The following is a 16,790-nucleotide window of genomic DNA, read 5'->3' as shown; positions in this document are numbered from 1 at the left end:
TGGGATTACAGGTGTAAGCCACTGTACCCGGGCATGGCATCATTTTTAATATATGTTTGGAAATTGGGTTTTTATCATATTAAAATATATATAACATAAATTTTAGCATTTCAACCATTTTAAAGTGTACAGTTTACTGGCATTAAATACATTCACAGTGTTATGCGTTGGTAACTGATTTTTAAAATTATTTCATAATCTTTTAATATCCCTGTTTTTCTGCACTTGCTAGATTATAAACTCTATAACAGTAGGACTTTTTTTTTTTTTTTTTTTTTTTTTTGAGATTGGGTCTCACTCTGTCACCCAAGCTGGAGTGCAGTAGCACAGTTGTAGCTCACTGCAGCCTCAAATTCCTGGGTTGAAGCCATCCTCCTACCACAACCTCTGGAGTATCAGGGACCACAGGCACACGCCACCACGCCTGGATAATTTTTCTATTTTTTTTGTAGAGACAGGGTCTCACTGTGTTGCCAGGGCTGGCCTCAAATTCCTGGGGTCAAGCAATCCTCCTGTCTTGGCCGCCCCCCACAAATTCTGGGATTACAAGCATGAGCCACCACACTCAGTCAAGGTAGGATTTTCAGACAAATAACTTTATTCCCATACCCCGATCAAAAATCTTGTCTACATGCATAAAACCTGTATAATTATTTACTTTATATTTTCCTTTAAAGCAACTCAAATTTCTACTTAGCCTAACCTTATATAATTGTCTTTTTGAAGTTATAGGCTTGATAAACTAGACATTCTTCTAATATGAATTAATGCAAATACATAACTACACAATTCAAATGTTCATCTACGTTTCGTCTTATATCATCTTGTGTACAACCAGCTCTGTGTGTACCACATTTTGGCAAACCAACTTTTTAATGTTTTTTTTTTTTTTTTTGGCTCTGTTGCCCAGGCTGGAGTACAGTGGCATGATCTCGGCTCACCACAACCTCCGCCTCCCAGGTTCAAGAGATTCTCCTGCCTCAGCCTCTCGAGTAGCTGGAACTACAGGCATGCGCCACCACACCTGGCTAATTTTTGTATTTTTAGTAGAGACAGGGTTTCACTATGTTGGCCAGGCTGGTCTTGAACTCCTGACCTCATGATCCACTCACCTCGGCCTCCCAAAGTGCCGGGATTATAGGCATGAGCCACTATGCCCAGCAGCAAACCAAGTTCTATAGCATCATATTTCATGGCTAAATAGATTTTAGATTTTTAAATTATTGACTTTATATATGTATGTACGTTCTATGAGTTTTAACATACTTTCAGAGTTGTGTAACCACCACTACAATAAGAATACAAAACAGTTCAAATGCCTCCTGCTGCCTCTTTGTAGACTTCTCTTATCTAGACAAACTGTGATTTCCCACAGTTGCTTCCTAGTTTTCTCTTTGATGATAAACTTGCTTCCTTTCAGTATTGTTGTGTTTGAAGCCATCTGGGATAGCTTGTAATCAATCTGGGATTTTTAAGCACTACTGTAAATCCTCACACAGACATAATTCTCTGTCTCCCTGAGATTTTATGCATTTATAAGGAAGTCATGATTCTTGTTACTGAGCACAACTGAAGACAGATGGTATAAACATTCCAAAGATGGAGTATCTCAGATCTAATATCCAATATATATTGGGCCAGGGGTGGTGGCTCACACCTGTAATCCCAGCACTTTGGGAGGCTGAGGTGGGCAGATCACCTGAGGTCAGGAGTTCAAGACCAGCCTGGCCAACATGGCGAAACCCCATCTCTACTAAAAATACAAAAATTAGTGGTGGCGGGTGCCTGTTAATCCCAGCTACTCGGGAGGCTGAGGCAGGAGAATCGCTTGAACCCAGGAGGCAGAGGTTGCAGTGAGCCGAGATTGCACCACTGCACTCCACCCTGGGCAACAAGAGCGAAACTCCATCTCAAAAAAAAAAAAATATGTATGGGTGTCTGATTTCGGCTTTCTCTCCCATTCCCCTAGGGCGTTCCCCGCCCTCTTGGTAGACAATCAGCCCCGACACTAACAACACTCTCCAGCACAGGCACCCCCTCCCATTGGCCTGTGTCCACAAGAGGCATCACTAATCAACCATTACACTCTTCAGCTGAGCCCTGATATGCATTAGAGTCCTTCACAATCCAGCCTGCCAGGCAGTTGGGTGGAGTGGGCACAATCAGATGAAATGTATTTGCTATCCTCATTGAGTTCTAGATTGAGGTTGGAAAAATGTCTCTATCTTGACCTGCTGGGTCTCTTGGCCCATAAGTCTTCAATCATCACACCTGAGTTCACTCATCCTGCCCTTGTAATCCCAGCACCAGATCTTCACTTAGGTGTAGAAGGATGGTGTGGTTATAAAAAGGGTGTCCCATGGCAGCTCTTCAGAGTGCCGGAACTGGTCTGCCTCCTGATAGTAACACAAATTGATAGATGAGTTAAAACACGTCAGCTCACGCCTGTAATCCCAGGCTCTGGGAGGCTGAGGTGGGCGGATCACTTGAGGCCAGGAGTTTGAGACCAGCTTGGCCAAAATGGTGAAACCCCGTCTCTACCAAAAAATACCAAAATTAGTTGGGCATGGTGGTGCATGCCTGTAATCCCAGCTACTTGGGAGGCTGAGGCAGGAGAATCACTTGAACCCAGGAGGCGGAGGTTGCAGTAAGCCGAGGTTACAATGAGCTGAGATCACACCATTGCACTCCAGCCTGGGTGGCAGAGTGAGACCCTGTCTCAGAAAAAACAAACAAATAAACAAAAACTGTACACCAAAAGGAAAACTCAATCCAAAAATAACATAAATGAGGGTGGGAGCCAGGCACTGTGGCTCACAACTGTAGTCCCATCTACTCAGGAGGCTGAGGCAGCAGAATCACTTGAGGCTAGGAATTCGAGACCAGCCTGGTCAACATAGCAAGACCTCATCTCTTTTTTTTTTTTTTTTTGAGTCAGAGTCTCACTCTGTCACCCAGGCTGGAATGCCGTGGTACGATCTCAGCTCACTGCAACCTCCGCCTCCCAGGTTCAAGCGATTCTCCTGCCTCAGCCTCCTGAGGAGCTGGGACTACAGGTGCCCACGACCATACCCTGCTAATTTTTGTATTTTTAGTAGAGATGGGGTTTCACCACGTTGGCCAGGCTGGTCTCGAACTCCTGACCTCAAGTGATCTGCCCGCCTCAGCCTCCCAAAGTGCTGGGATTGCAGGCGTGAGACTTAAAATATATTTTATTTTATTATTATTATTATTTTAAGCGTGAGAGGGGCTTTCCGGCAAAAACTGGAAAGACTGCTAGACAAATTCTAAAAGAGCTGTAACACTGGGCTATATTTTAAGGTCAGAACCCATAGAGTTTGTGGAAAGGCTGGATGGGGATCCAAGGATTAGATGAGGGTCACTTGAGGAGCTAAAAAATATGAATACCAACAAACAGCCCCTCCACCTCCAGACCTAGCGTTGGTACGTGTCTTAAAAGCTTGCCAGGTGTTTCAAATCTGCAGCCAGACTTGAGAGCAACCTAGAATAGCATTTCTCAAAGTTTGATGTGCATGGGGAACACCTGGTAGTCTTGCTAAAATTCAGTAGGTAGAGGCAGCGCCCGAGAGTCTTCATTTCTCATACGTGATGCAGATGCTGCTGATGCTGCTGGTCTATGGTCCACACATTGAGTCCCGCCTAGAGCTCATCCGCTCTGCCAGCCTCTGCTTCTCTGATACCCTGCTTCTATCAAAAAGTGAGTCCAATCAGCATTACCTTGAATATATCCATATTCTGACTACCTCTCACTTCCTCCACCTCACTAGTGCTGGCCACCGTCCATGTCTCACCTGGACAACCATCGTAGCCTCCCAGCTGGCTTCTCCCTCCTTCCATGCTTTCACTAACTGCTATTTTTCTGTACAGCAGCCGAAGTAGCCTTAACTTCAGCTGAGATCATATTGCAGCATTCTCTGCTCAATTCCCTGCAAAGGTCTACATAGCCTGCAATTTCTCCTCACCCCTTTTTTTGATCTTATTTCCTGCCACTGTGTTTCTCTTCCATATTGCTCCAGCCATACTGGCCCCTGTACTGAACCACAAGCGCATTCCTGCACCAGAGCCTTTGCCCTGGCCCTTCTCTCCCCTTGAAAGCTTCTGCCCTGTATCCACGTCACTTGCTGCCCCGCTTCATCCAGGTCTCTGCTCAGATATCCCCTCATCAAAAAGGTCTGCCGTGACCACCCTGTTTAATTAGCACTCACTCTCCTACCACCTTCCACCTCAGTCTCTCGCCCCTTTATCTTTTATTTATTTATTTATTTATTTATTTTGAGACAGAGTTTCATTCTGTCACCCACACTGGAGTACAATGGTGGGATCTCAGCTCACCGCAGCCTCCGCCTGTTGGGCTCAAGCGACTCTCCTGGCTCAGCCTCCCAAGTAGCTGGGACTGTAGGCACCCACCACCACGCCCAGCTAATTTTTGTATTTTTAGTAGAGACAGGGTTTCACCATGTGGGCCAGGCTGGTCGCAAACTCCTGACCTCAAGGGAGCGGCCTGCCTTGGCCTCCCAAAGTGCTGGGATTACAGGTGTGAGTCACCATGCCCCGCCCTCTCCCCTTTATTAACTATTCCTTACTGTGTAAAAGATTATCCCCAAGATGAATGGCTTAAAACAATAATCATGATTTATCATTTCACCTGGCTTCTGTGAGCCAGGAATTCAGAAAGGGCATAGTGGAGACAGCTTTCTCCGTCCACAATTATTGGGACTACAGCTGTTAAGAGTCAGAGGCTAGGCTGGGCGCGGTGGCTCACGCCTGTAATCCCACCACTTTGGGAGGCCAGGGCAGGCGGATCACCTGAGGTCAGGAGTTCGAGACCAGCCTGGCCAACAGGGCAAAACCCCTGTCTCTACTAAAAATACAAAAATTAGCGGGGCATAATGGTGCGCCCCTGTAATCCCAGCTACTCGGGAGGCTGAGTCAGGAGAATCGCTTGAACCCGGGAGGTGGAGGTTGCAGTGAGCTGAGGTCGTGCCATTGCACTCCAGCCTGGGCAAAAAGCAAAACTCCACCTCAAAAAAACAAAAACAAAAAAGAGTCAGAGGCTGAGGACAGATCACATGCTCTTTGTCACCCAAGTGCAGCTGAGGCTGTCACTCACTCAGAACCTCTAATGTGGCTTCCTTGTGGCTTGGGCTTCCCTCAACATGGTGGCTGGATTCCAAGGGCAAGCATCCCAAGAGACAGAAAGAGAGCTGGGCAAAAACGGACCCTCAGAAGCGACATTACATCACTCGGCTGTATTCTGTTCACTAGATGTGGGCATGCAGACCAGCCCATGCTCAAGGAGAAGGAAACTAGCTTCATCCTCTGCAGGGAGGAGCGTCAAGGAATTTGCAGACACATTTTTAAGTCCCTGTGCTCCCCCTTACCTTGCTTTCTTTTTCTTTAGAGCTCTATCATTTCCTGAAAGATTGTGTATCTATTTCTGTTTATTGTCCTTCTTTCCCATCAAAATGTCAATATCTGGGGCCGAGTGCGGTGGCTCACACCTGTAATCCCAGCACTTTGGGAGGCCGAGGCAGGCGAACCACGAGGTCAGGAGTTCAAGACCAGCCAGGCCAACATGGCGAAACCCCGTCTCTACTAAGAATACAAGAATTAGCCGGGTGTGGTGGTGCGTGCCTGTAATCCCATCTACTTGGGAGGCTGAGACAGAAGAATCATTTGAACTTGAGAGGCAGAGGTTGCAGTGAGCCCGGGTCATACCACTGCACTCCAGCCTGGATGACAGAACAAGACTCCATCTTGAAAAAAAAAACAACCAAAAAGTCAATATCTGCCTTGCTCACTCCTGCCTCCCTTTTGCTTATAGGCATGTGTAATACATAGTAGGTGCTCAATATATATACACATATGAAACGCTTTGTGAATTTGCCAGTCACCCTTGCTCAGGGGCCATGCTAATCTCTGTATCGTTCCAGTTTTTGGCATATGTACTGGTGAAGCCAGCAGTCAATATATATTTTTGAATGAGTCAATTACCATGTATTCATCTCTGATAGATTTTGAAAACAATCAAACTGTTTGCTGAGAATCCAAAGAATTGGATTGAGAGGCCAGGCACGGTGGCTCACACCTGTAATCCCAGCACTTTGGGAGGCTGAGGCAGGCAGATCACCTGAGGTCAGGAATTTGAGACCAGCCTGGCCAACATGATGAAATCCTGTCTCTACTAAAAATACAAAAAATTAGGCTGGGCGCAGTGGCTCAGGCCTGTAATCTCAGCACTTTGGGAGGCTGACGTGGGCGGATCACAAGGTCAGGAGTTTGAGACCAGCCTGGCCAACATGGTGAAACCCTGTCTCTACTGAAAATACAAAAATTATCTGGGCGCGGTCGTGGGCGCCTGTAATCCCAGCTACTCAGGAAGCTGAGGCAGGAGAATTGCTTGAACCCAGTAGGAGGAGGTTGCAGTGGGCTGAGACCGTGGCATTGCACTCCAGCCTGGGTGACAGAGAGACTTGATCTCAAAATTAATAAAAATACAAAGAATTAGCTGGGCATAGTGGCGGGCGCCTATAATTCCAGCTACTCAGGAGGCAGAGGCAGGAGAATCACTTGAACCTGGGAGGCAAAGGTTGCAGTGAGCCGAGATCATGCCACCGAACTCCAGCCTGGGCAACAAGAGGGAAACTCCATTTAAAAACACACACACACACACACACACACACACACACACACAAAGAATTGGATTGATGGGGAGATAGTCTATTCATGGAGAAGAAGAGCAGAGAAGCTTAATGAAGCAATACCCTGTGACCGTGACTGTGAGGACTCCATAGCTGAGGGCATACAATAGGGTTGCTTTCCCAACTGGCCTTCACTGCAACCAATCAGGTTTCTAGGAGCAGGGGCAGCTTATCTAGGAGTGCCTTGGCACCCACTTCTTGGGATTATCTCTGATCTATACAAGTGAGAGACTTGCCTTCCCAAATGGCCTGCTTTTTCCGGAAGGGAAAGAAGTATGTCTTATTTTCTTGGCATCCTACATATAATGTAACATACTTAAAACTCAGGCCGGGCGCTGTGGCTCATGCCTGTAATCCCAGCGCTTTGGGAGGCCGATGCAGGTGGATCACGAGGTCAGGAGTTTGAGACCAGCCTGACCAACATGGTGAAACCCCGTCTCTACTAAAAACATAAAAATTAGCCAGGCATGGTGGCACGTGCCTGTAATCCCAGCTACTCAGGAGGCTGAGGCAGGAGAATTGCTTGAATCGGGAGGCAGAGGTTGCAGTGAGCCGAGATTGTGCCACGGCACTCCAACATGGATCACAGAGAGAGACTGTCTCAAAAAAAATAAAAACAAAAAACTCAGTAACTACATAATTGAGGGTCACCAGGCATGGTGGAACACTAATAACAGCTGTGGGGGTTTTTTTTTAGTTTTTTGTTTTTGTTTTGAGACAGTCTTGCTCTGTGGCTCAGGCTGGAGTGCAGTGGTGTGATCATAGCTCACTGCAGCCTCAAGCTCCTCGGCTTAAGCAATCCTCCTATCTCAGCCTCCCAAGTAGCTAGGATACAGGCAGACACCACACTTGGCTAATGTTTTGTACTTTTTGTAGAGACAGTGTCTCACTATGTTGCCCAGGCTAGTCTCCTAGGCTGGACAACATAGTGAGACCCTGAGCTCAAGTGATCCACCCACCTTGGCCTCCCATAGGATGACAGGCGTGATCCACCATGCCCAGCACAACTATTATTTATTGAGTGTGTGCTGGGTGCCAGGTACTTGTGTTAAACATTTGATGTGTACTGCCTCTGAATCCTCAAACGGCATTATGTTCATTTCATAGATGAGGAAATTGAGACCTAGAGAGATAAAAACAAAGGTCCAACACGTGGTGGGGCCCTAGTTAATATTTGTAGAATGATTAGATTCCAATTATCTGGTTATGCCTCCATATTTATACACTGGACCACCATATACTGTGTGGAGTACATAATTGTGGATATAATAGGAGTGTATAATTTAGGGGTAAATAAATGTATCCTTTGGCCACAGGCTACTAGCTCCTGAGAAGCCACATCCTGACTAAATCAGCAGAAGCCACGTCATCCAGAGATAATGGGATGGAGACAGGGGTGCCTCTGAGGCTGAGGTGACTCCCATAGGGATGGGTAAGTCTGTTTTACTGTATTAATACTGGGCAGCTGAGGTGCAGTTTGGGAATTTTAAGCAAGGAAGAAGGATGTACATATCTGTGTGATTCTGTGAGAATGGCGGCCCCTGGAGCTGTGCGGCACATTGCTCTCGTCTTCCCGGCAAAATTTTTCCTCCATCAGCCATCCCACTACCTTTGGGGAACTTCTTCCTGACTCCACTAGGGCATGGGGAAGCTGTCAATCATGTTGCCTTACTGCACACGCCCCATCTACCCACCCAATTCAGCCAATCAGAGACCTGTATTCCACGCCCCTACCATCAACACTGCCTTCCTCATGGTTCAGGGATGAACAAGAAATCACACTACACTAATCAGAGCACTCCCTGAAATTCCTCTGCCCCTGCTAGTGTGGAGAATACCGTTACCTTTAAAGTTTAAGAAAAAACTCTCCACATCAAGGGGCTTTAGATCTATGTTATCCTCAGGCCGGGTGCAGTGGCTCACACCTGTAATCCCAGCACTTTGGGAGGCCAAGGCAGGTGGATCACTTGAGGTCGGGAGTTCGAGACCAGCCTGGGGAAATCCTGTCTCTACTAAAAATACAACAACAACAAAAATTAGCTGGGTGTGGTGGCACTGCCTGTAATCCCAGCTACTCAGGAGGCTGAGGCAGGAGAATCACTTGAACCCAGGAGGCGGAGGCTGCAGTGAGCCGAGATCACGCCACTGCACTCCAGCCTGCTTGACAGAACAAGACTCCATCTCAAAAAAAAAAAAAAAAAATCTGTTATCCTCACCCCTACCTCTATCCCACAATGTCAATCTACCTAATTGCAACTTCCTGAAGGCAAAGAGAGATTTCTGTCCTTCCCCACAATGCCCATCCTCCCAATGCTAATTTACATCTATCAGTTTATTAGACTTGGCAGGGAGGGCCTAGCAAAAGAAAGTATCGGCCTCTTTCCATTATATTTTGGGCACTCTTTTAAAATACTTAAAACCTGGGTGCGCTTTGGTACCAACAGAGACCATGTTTAAACTTGGATGCTGAATTCCCAGTAATGAAGGCTTTGAAGCATCTTGTCAGGCTTTCATTCCTGTCTACTGCACAGTGATTCTGTGCTAGTCATTGTGCTAAGCACTGGGATACAGTAAGAAGACACTATACTAGAATTTGCAACCCACCAGAGGAGCAGAGCAGTAGAGTTCAGCTCTCTTTGTCTCTATGAAAATTGTTTCCTAGGCTGGGCGTGGTGGCTCACACCTGTAATCCCAGCACTTTGGGCGGCTGAGGTGGGCGGATCACCTGAGGTCAGGAGTTCGAGACCAGCCTGACCAACATGGAGAAACCCCATCTCTACTATAAATACAAAATTAGCCAGGCATGGTGGCACATGCCTGTAATCCCAGCTACTCAGGAAGCAGAGGCAGGAGAATCACTTGAACCCAGGACGCAGAGGTTGTGGTGAGCTGAGATTGCACCATTGCACTCCAGCCTGGGCAACAAGAGTGAAACTCCATCATAAAAAAAATAAAAAAGAAAATTGTTTCCTAAACCCACCTCCTAAGAGCCCCTATGGTACCCTGTTAACCCCACCTGGTGGCTTCAAACCTGTCAGCCCCAGCATCTTCCTCAGAGTACATGAAATTCTGGTAATTCTTCCAGAAGATTCTCTCAGGTTTCTCCTCCAACCACGCTCTCGGTTCATTTAACTTGAAGCAATTTAGAATTTCAGAGTTTGACTTTATTTTGTAGTGTTTATTTCAAAACAAATTATGTTCCTTATTTAAAAATTCAAATACTGTATGAATATATGGTATTAAAAGTCTTCAACATGGCCAGGCACAGTGGCTCATACCTATAATCCCAGCACTTTGGGAGGCTGAGGTGGGTGGATCACAAGGTCAGGAGTTCAAGACCAGCCTGGCCAATATGGTGAAACCCTGTCTCTACTAAAAATACAAAAATTGGCCGGGCGTGCTGGCACACGCCTGTAGTCCCAGCTACTCGGGAAGCAGAGGCAGGAGAATCACTTGACCCCAGGAGGCAGAGGTTGCAGGGAGCCGAGATCCTGCCACTGCACTCTAGCCTCGGAAACAAAAGGAGACTCTATCTCAAAAAAAAAAAAAAAAAGTCTTCAGTATATCTCAGGGAAACCCACTATTACTAGTTCAGTGTATTTTCTGTCTGACTTCTAAAAATTTCTAAATTAACATATATTATTTATTATCTTTTAGAGGAATCATACTCTTCATTTTTCAACTAGCCTGTCCTCAAAACACATTTAAAATATGTGAGGTCCAGTACAATATCATAGGCCACATGTGGGAATTTAAATTCAAATAAATAGCGGGGTGCAGTGGCACACACCTAACATCCCAGCTTCTTGGGAGGCTGAGGAAGGAGAATTGCTCGAGGCCAGAAGTTCAAGACCAGCCTGGGCAAGATTGCAAGACCCTGTCTCTAAAAATAAATTAATGAATAACATAAAATAAATAATTACTTTAGTTACATTACACACTCAGTTTCTCCATTGCACTTGCCACGTTTCAAGTACTACATGTGACTAGTGGCTACTGTATTGGACAGCACAGCATAGAACATTCCATCATTGCAGAAAGTTCTATTGGGTAGCACTTTCTAGCACTGGTCTACATAACTTTCTATGTCATTACATAAACTTTCTGCCTCATTTTTTTTTTTTTTTTTTGAGTTGGAGTCTTACTCCATCACCCAGGCTGGAGTGCAGTGGCCCAATCTTAGCTCACTGCAACCTTTGCCTCCTGGGTTCAAGTGATTGTCCTGCCTCAGCCTCCCAAGTAGCTGGGATTACAGGTGTGCACCACCACCTGGCTAATTTTTGTGTTTTTAGTGGAGATGGGGTTTCACCATGTTGGCCAGGCTGGTCTCGAACTCCTGACCTCAGGTCATCCACCCGCCTCGGCCTCCCAAAGTGCTGGGATTAGAGGCATGAGCCACCATGCCTGGCCATTCTTTTTTTTTTTTTTTTTTTTTAAATTAGTCCCTCACTTTTCCATGTGGATATACAATATAATTAATCACTTCCCTACGGATGGACATTGAGTTTATTTCCAATTTTCACAGTTGCAAGCAAAGCTGCAAAACACATCCTCACGTAGAAAAATTGGCTTGCTTATGACATGACTCTCCAGAATGAAGTCCCAGAATTGAAAATACTCAGTAAAAAGCTACAAACTCAGCTGGGCGCGGTGGCTCACGCCTGTAATCCCAGCACTTTGGGAGGCCGAGGCGGGCGGATCACGAGGTCAGGAGATCAAGACCATCCTGGCTAACACGGTGAAACCCCGTCTCTACTAAAAATACAAAAAATTAGCCGGGCGTGGTGGCAGGCGCCTGTAGTCCCAGCTACTCGGGAGGCTGAGGCAGGAGAATGGCGTGAACCCGGGAGGCGGAGCTTGCAGTGAGTGTGGAGATCGCGCCACTGCAGTCCAGCCTGGGTGACAGAGCAAGACTCCGTCTCAAAAAAAAAAAAAAAACTACAAAACTCGATTCAAATTTTCAGTTGTTAAAATAGAACCTTTGTTCTTCAGGACCTGAGACTGAAGGAAGATGTTCTCATTGGTCAGTATGTCTGATTATATGTCAATATAGGGTAAAAGAAAGGAAAATAGTTTGTAGCTTTGGGTAATTTTAATATCCATAAGTTGTAGCAGTATAATTTTTAAAGTTGCATTTGAACTGGAGGTTTGGTTTTGAAACCACTGGAGAAAGTAAAAAATTAGAGCTGGGCGTAGTGGCACACACCTGTAATCTCAGTCACTAGGGATACTGAGGCAAAGCCTGGGTGACAGAGCAAGACTCTGTGTCAAAAAATAAAAAATAAAGAATGAAATATAAAGAAAGTAAAAAATTACATATAATTAAAAAAATTGGCTTCAAAACGAAGTCCCAGCTGGGCATGGTAGCACATTCCTCTAGTCCCGGCTACTCAGGAGGCTGAGAGAGGAGGATTGCTTGAGTCTAGGAGTTCAAGGCCGTAATGCACTATGTGAATAGCCACTGCACTCCAGCCTAGGCAGCATAGCAGGACCCTATCTCAAAAAAAAAAAAAAAAAGTGGAGGGTTACATGTACCAAATATATCAATAAATTGTTTTGAAAGATAATTCTTGGCTGGGTGTGATGGCTCATGCCTGTAATCCCAGAACTTTGGGAGGCCAAGGTGGGTGGATCGCTTGAGGTCAGGTGTTCAAGACCAGCCTGGCCAACATGGTGAAACCTGGTCTCTACTAAAAATACAAAAATTAGCCGGGTGTGGTGGTGGGTGCCTGTAATTCCACCTACTCGGGAGGCTGAGGCATAAGAGTCGCTTGAACCTTGGAGGCAGAGGTTGCAGTGAGCTTAGATAGTGCTACTGTACTCCAGCCTGGGAGACAGAGCAAGACTCTGTCTCAAAAAAAAAAAAAAAAAAAAAAAACAAACCCCACAAGGAAAGAAAACTGGCACAGGCTGGAAGACACTAAAGACAAAGAACAGTCACATGCAATGTGGGACCCTGGGAGGGATCATGGAACACAAAAGAGACATTGAGGAGAGCAGCAATGAAATTTAAATGAGGTCTGTAGTAGTAGTAGTAATGATAATAATGTACCAGTGTTGAAATTTTCTGTTCTTGGTCATTGTACTCTATAAGTATGCAGACTGTTAGCAATAGAAGAAGGAAGGTGAGGATACAAGAGGACTCTGTACCATTTTTGCAGCTCTTCTTAAGTCTAAAATTCATACTAAATGAATACTTTTTAAAAATTAAATGTTGGTGCCAGGTGCAGTGGTGCGATCACAGCTCACTGCAGCCTCTACCTCCGGAGCTCAAGCAATCCTCTCACCTCAACCTCCCGAGTAGCTGGGACTGTGGGAATGCACCACCACACCTAGCTAATTTTTAAGTGTTTTGTAGAGACAGAGTCTCACTATGTAACCCAGTCTGGTCTCAAACTTCTAGGCTCAAGTGATCCTCCCTCCTAAACCTTCTAAAGTGCTGGGATTATAGGTGTGAGCCACTGCACCCAGCAGGCCCTTTTATAAGGGGCCAAATCCCCTCTACAAGGGCTCTAATCTCATGACTTAATTACCTCCAAAGGCCCCACCTCTTAATACTGTCACTCTGGCCATTAAGTTTCAACACATGAATTTTGGAGGAAATATTTAGACCATACAAAGGGCTTAGTCTTATGGGCTAGAGCAGGGGCCCCCAACCCCCAGGCCGTGGACAGGTACTGGGCTATGACCTGTTAGGAACCAGGCCACAGGGCAGGAAGGGAGTGGCAGGTGGGCGAGCGTTGCCGCCGGGGCTCCACCTCCTGTCAGATCTCTCTAGGCATTAGATTCTCATAGGAGCGGGAACCCTATTCTGAACTGCGGATGGGAGGGATCTAGGTTGCACGCTTCTTATGAGAATTTAATGCCTGATGATCTGAGGTGGAACAGTTTCATTCCAAAACCATTTCCCCCAACCCATCCCATCCATGGAAAAATTGTCTTACACAAAACCAGTCCCTGGTGCCAAAAAAGTTGGGACCCACTGACTAGAGCTCTGAGTTTGAAGACACATATTGGGAGGAAGTACCATTGGATCTCTATATTCTACATTCTAGCAAGAGCGTGGAGGGGAGAGGAAGGGAGATACGGAGAGATGGCAGGCGACAGCAGAGCTTACATTTATAACGATGACTCATTTTTGTATAGTACTGTATATACGGCTTTCAAAGTCCTTTTCCAACACCCATCATCCCAGCACTCAGGAAGGACGGAGGAGGTAAGAGGAAGTATCTGAAGCTCAGGGAGTTGAAGAGAAGCCTGATGCAGAGACATAGAGAATGTGTCATTGCAAGGTCACAGACCCTAAACAAATGAATAAATAAATAAGTGCTTTCTGATGACCAAGTTGGCTGGAGGAGCAAGGTAGTATGGAACTGGTGAGGAGAGTGAGGGTGACTTGGAGAGGTACCTGTGCCAGAATAACTCTAAATTTTATCGTTATCCGAAGTATATGGTTCTTGAGGATTTTGGCAAACTACTTTTCCGTTTCTGCAATTTTGGTTCTGAAGGTAGACATGAGCTCATAAACACAGAGCTAAAGATTTTCTTTACAGTAAACAAATACTAGCTCAGCCAGGAGATCCAAGTTAACATCAACAATGATAAGTCGTGTTGATAGAATGTACCTTTGATCTAATGTGATGAGAATGGCTTTACCTCTGTGGTTTTCCTTCCACAAACATTTAACAACAAATAAATCCAAATTGAGGGACATTCTTTTTTTTTTTTTTTTTTGAGACAGAATCTCACTCTGTCGCTCAGGCTGGAGTGAATGGCAGGATTTCAGCTCAATGCAACCTCCGCCTCCCGGGTTCAAGCCATTCAATTGAGGGACATTCTACAGCATATTTGCCCAAAGCTCCTCAAAACTGTCGAGGTTTTCAAAACAAGGGTAGTCTAAGAAACTATGACAGCTAAGTGTAACCTAAAGAGACATTAGAACTAAATGTAATGTGGTGGTTTAGATAGGATCCTAACGCAGTAAAAGGACATTAGGTAAAAACCAAGGAAACCTGAATACAGTATGCAATTGAATTAACAATAATGTATGGCTGGCCGGGCGCAGTGGCTCACACCTGTAATCCCAGCACTTTGAGAGGCCAAGGTGGGTGGATCACCTGAAGTCAGGAGTTTGAGACTGACTCATGGCCAACATGGTAAAACCCCATCTCTACTAAAAATACAAAAATTGGCCGGGTGAGGTGGCTCATGCCTGTAATCCCAGCACTTTGGGGGGCCAAGCTGGGTGAATCACTTGAGGTCAGGAGTTCAAGACCAGCCTGGCCAACATGGTAAAACCCCATCTCTACTAAAAATACAAAAATTGGCTGGGCGCAGTGGCTCACACCTGTAATCCCAGTACTTTGCAAGGCCAAGGCGAGTGAATCACTTGAGGTCAGAAGTTTGAGACCAGCCTGGCCAACATGGTGAAACCTTGTCTCTACTAAAAATACACAAAATTAGCCGGGTGTGGTGGTGGGCGCCTGTAGTCCCAGCTAATGAGGAGGCTGAAGCAGGAGAATCAATTGAACCTTGGAGGTGGAGGTTGCAGTGAGCCAGAATTGCACCACTGCACTCCAGCCTGGGTGACAGAGCAAGACTCCGTCTCAAAAATAATAATAATAATAAAATAATAATGTTTGGCTAATAGTTTAACTGATTAAAACAAATGTGCCATGCTAATGTAAGATGTTAATAACAGGGAAAACTGTGTTTAGGGTATATGGTAACTCTTAGTACAATCTTTTCAATTTTTCTGTAAACCTAAAACTGTTCTAAAATTAAAATTTTATTTATGAAGAAGAGAATTGGCTGGGCGCAATGGCTCATGCCTGTAATCCCAGCACTTTGTGAGGCTGAGGCAGGTGGATCACGAGGTCAGGAGTTCAAGACCAGCCAGGCCAACATGGTGAAACCCCGTCTCTACTAAAAATACAAAAATTAGCTGGGCGTGGTGGCACATGCCTGTAGTCCCAGCTACTCAGGAGGCTGAGGCAGAAGAATCGCTTGAACCAGGAGGCTGAGGATGCAGTGAGCCGAGATCACGCCACTGCTCTCCAGCCTGGGAGACAGAGCGAGACTCCATCTCAAAAAAAAAAAAAAAAAAGACAATTGACTCTAAAGCAAGAAAAAAAAAACAAATATTTCAGAGTTTATAACATAAGTAGTAATAAAATCTATGACAAATACAGTGCAAAAGACATGGGGAGAGGGAAGTATATTGCTACAAGATTTTTATATTATATGTGAACTGTTATCATTTGATGGTACATTGTGATAAGCTGAAGATGCATACTTTATACCTTAGAGCAACCAAAAAAAAAAAAACAAGATATAGCTAATAAACCAGTCATGGAAATAAAATGGAATCCTAAAAAATAACTCATTCCAAAGGGAGCCAGGCAAAAAGAAGGAAAAAGAATAGACTACAAATAGGACAATAAAAAATAAAGAGCAAGATGGTAAATTTAAGTTCAACCATATAAAAAATTCCTATAAGGGTAAATGATCTAAATATTCCAATTGAAGTCAGAAGTTGTTGGTTTTGTAAGAGAGCAAGACCCAACCATATGCTGTCTCTAAGAAACTCTGCTTTATTTCTTATTTATTATTTTTTTGAGGTGGAGTCTCACACCACCTTAGGTGTGTGTTACTTAGGCTGGAGTGCAGTGGCACAGTCTCAGTTCACTGCAACCTCTGCCTCTTGGGTTCAAGTGATTGTCCTGCCTCAGCCTTCCAAGTAGCTGGGATTACAGGCGTGCGCCAGCATGCCCAGCTAATTTTTGTGTTTTTAGCAGAGAAGGGGTTTCACCGTGTTGGCCAGGCTGGTCTCGAACTCCTGACCTCACGTGATCTGCCTGCTTCAGCTTCCCAAAGTTGTGGAATTATAGGCATGAGCCATCGCACCCAGCCTGAAACCCCACTTTAAATATAAAGACCAGGTAGATTAGAAGTAAGGGATTGAAAAAGATACTCCATGCAAACACAAAGCCTAATAAAGTGGATTGGCTGCATTAATTTCAGATAAAATAGATTTCAATTTGAGAAATATTTCCAGGGAAAAAATGG

The 16,790-nt window shown here is 45.2% G+C and overlaps 2 pseudogenes, besides 3 other annotated features; both read right to left on the bottom strand.

Moving 5' to 3' along the window:
• Positions 808 to 984: a silencer, noted in NCBI's record as "fragment chr20:50523831-50524007 (GRCh37/hg19 assembly coordinates)". NCBI's record gives its function as "represses an EF-1alpha promoter that drives an FKBP-Casp9 reporter gene in an ReSE screen in K562 erythroleukemia cells {active_cell/tissue: K562}" and the evidence as "EXISTENCE:reporter gene assay evidence [ECO:0000049][PMID:32094911]".
• Positions 3,246 to 3,307, bottom strand: RNU7-6P (RNA, U7 small nuclear 6 pseudogene; annotated as a pseudogene).
• Positions 5,881 to 5,985, bottom strand: RNU6-347P (RNA, U6 small nuclear 347, pseudogene; annotated as a pseudogene).
• Positions 14,558 to 15,058: an enhancer, noted in NCBI's record as "H3K4me1 hESC enhancer chr20:50509757-50510257 (GRCh37/hg19 assembly coordinates)". NCBI's record gives its function as "activates a minimal SCP1, AML or CMV promoter by ChIP-STARR-seq in primed H9 embryonic stem cells {active_cell/tissue: H9 hESC(primed)}" and the evidence as "EXISTENCE:reporter gene assay evidence [ECO:0000049][PMID:30033119]".
• Positions 15,059 to 15,559: an enhancer, noted in NCBI's record as "H3K4me1 hESC enhancer chr20:50509256-50509756 (GRCh37/hg19 assembly coordinates)". NCBI's record gives its function as "activates a minimal SCP1, AML or CMV promoter by ChIP-STARR-seq in primed H9 embryonic stem cells {active_cell/tissue: H9 hESC(primed)}" and the evidence as "EXISTENCE:reporter gene assay evidence [ECO:0000049][PMID:30033119]".

This window comes from Homo sapiens, chromosome 20, assembly GCF_000001405.40.
Source record: "Homo sapiens chromosome 20, GRCh38.p14 Primary Assembly".
In the NCBI taxonomy this organism is placed as follows: Eukaryota; Metazoa; Chordata; class Mammalia; order Primates; family Hominidae; genus Homo; species Homo sapiens.
Note: the sequence above shows the minus strand (reverse complement) of the source record. Positions and strands in the feature narration are given on the sequence as shown.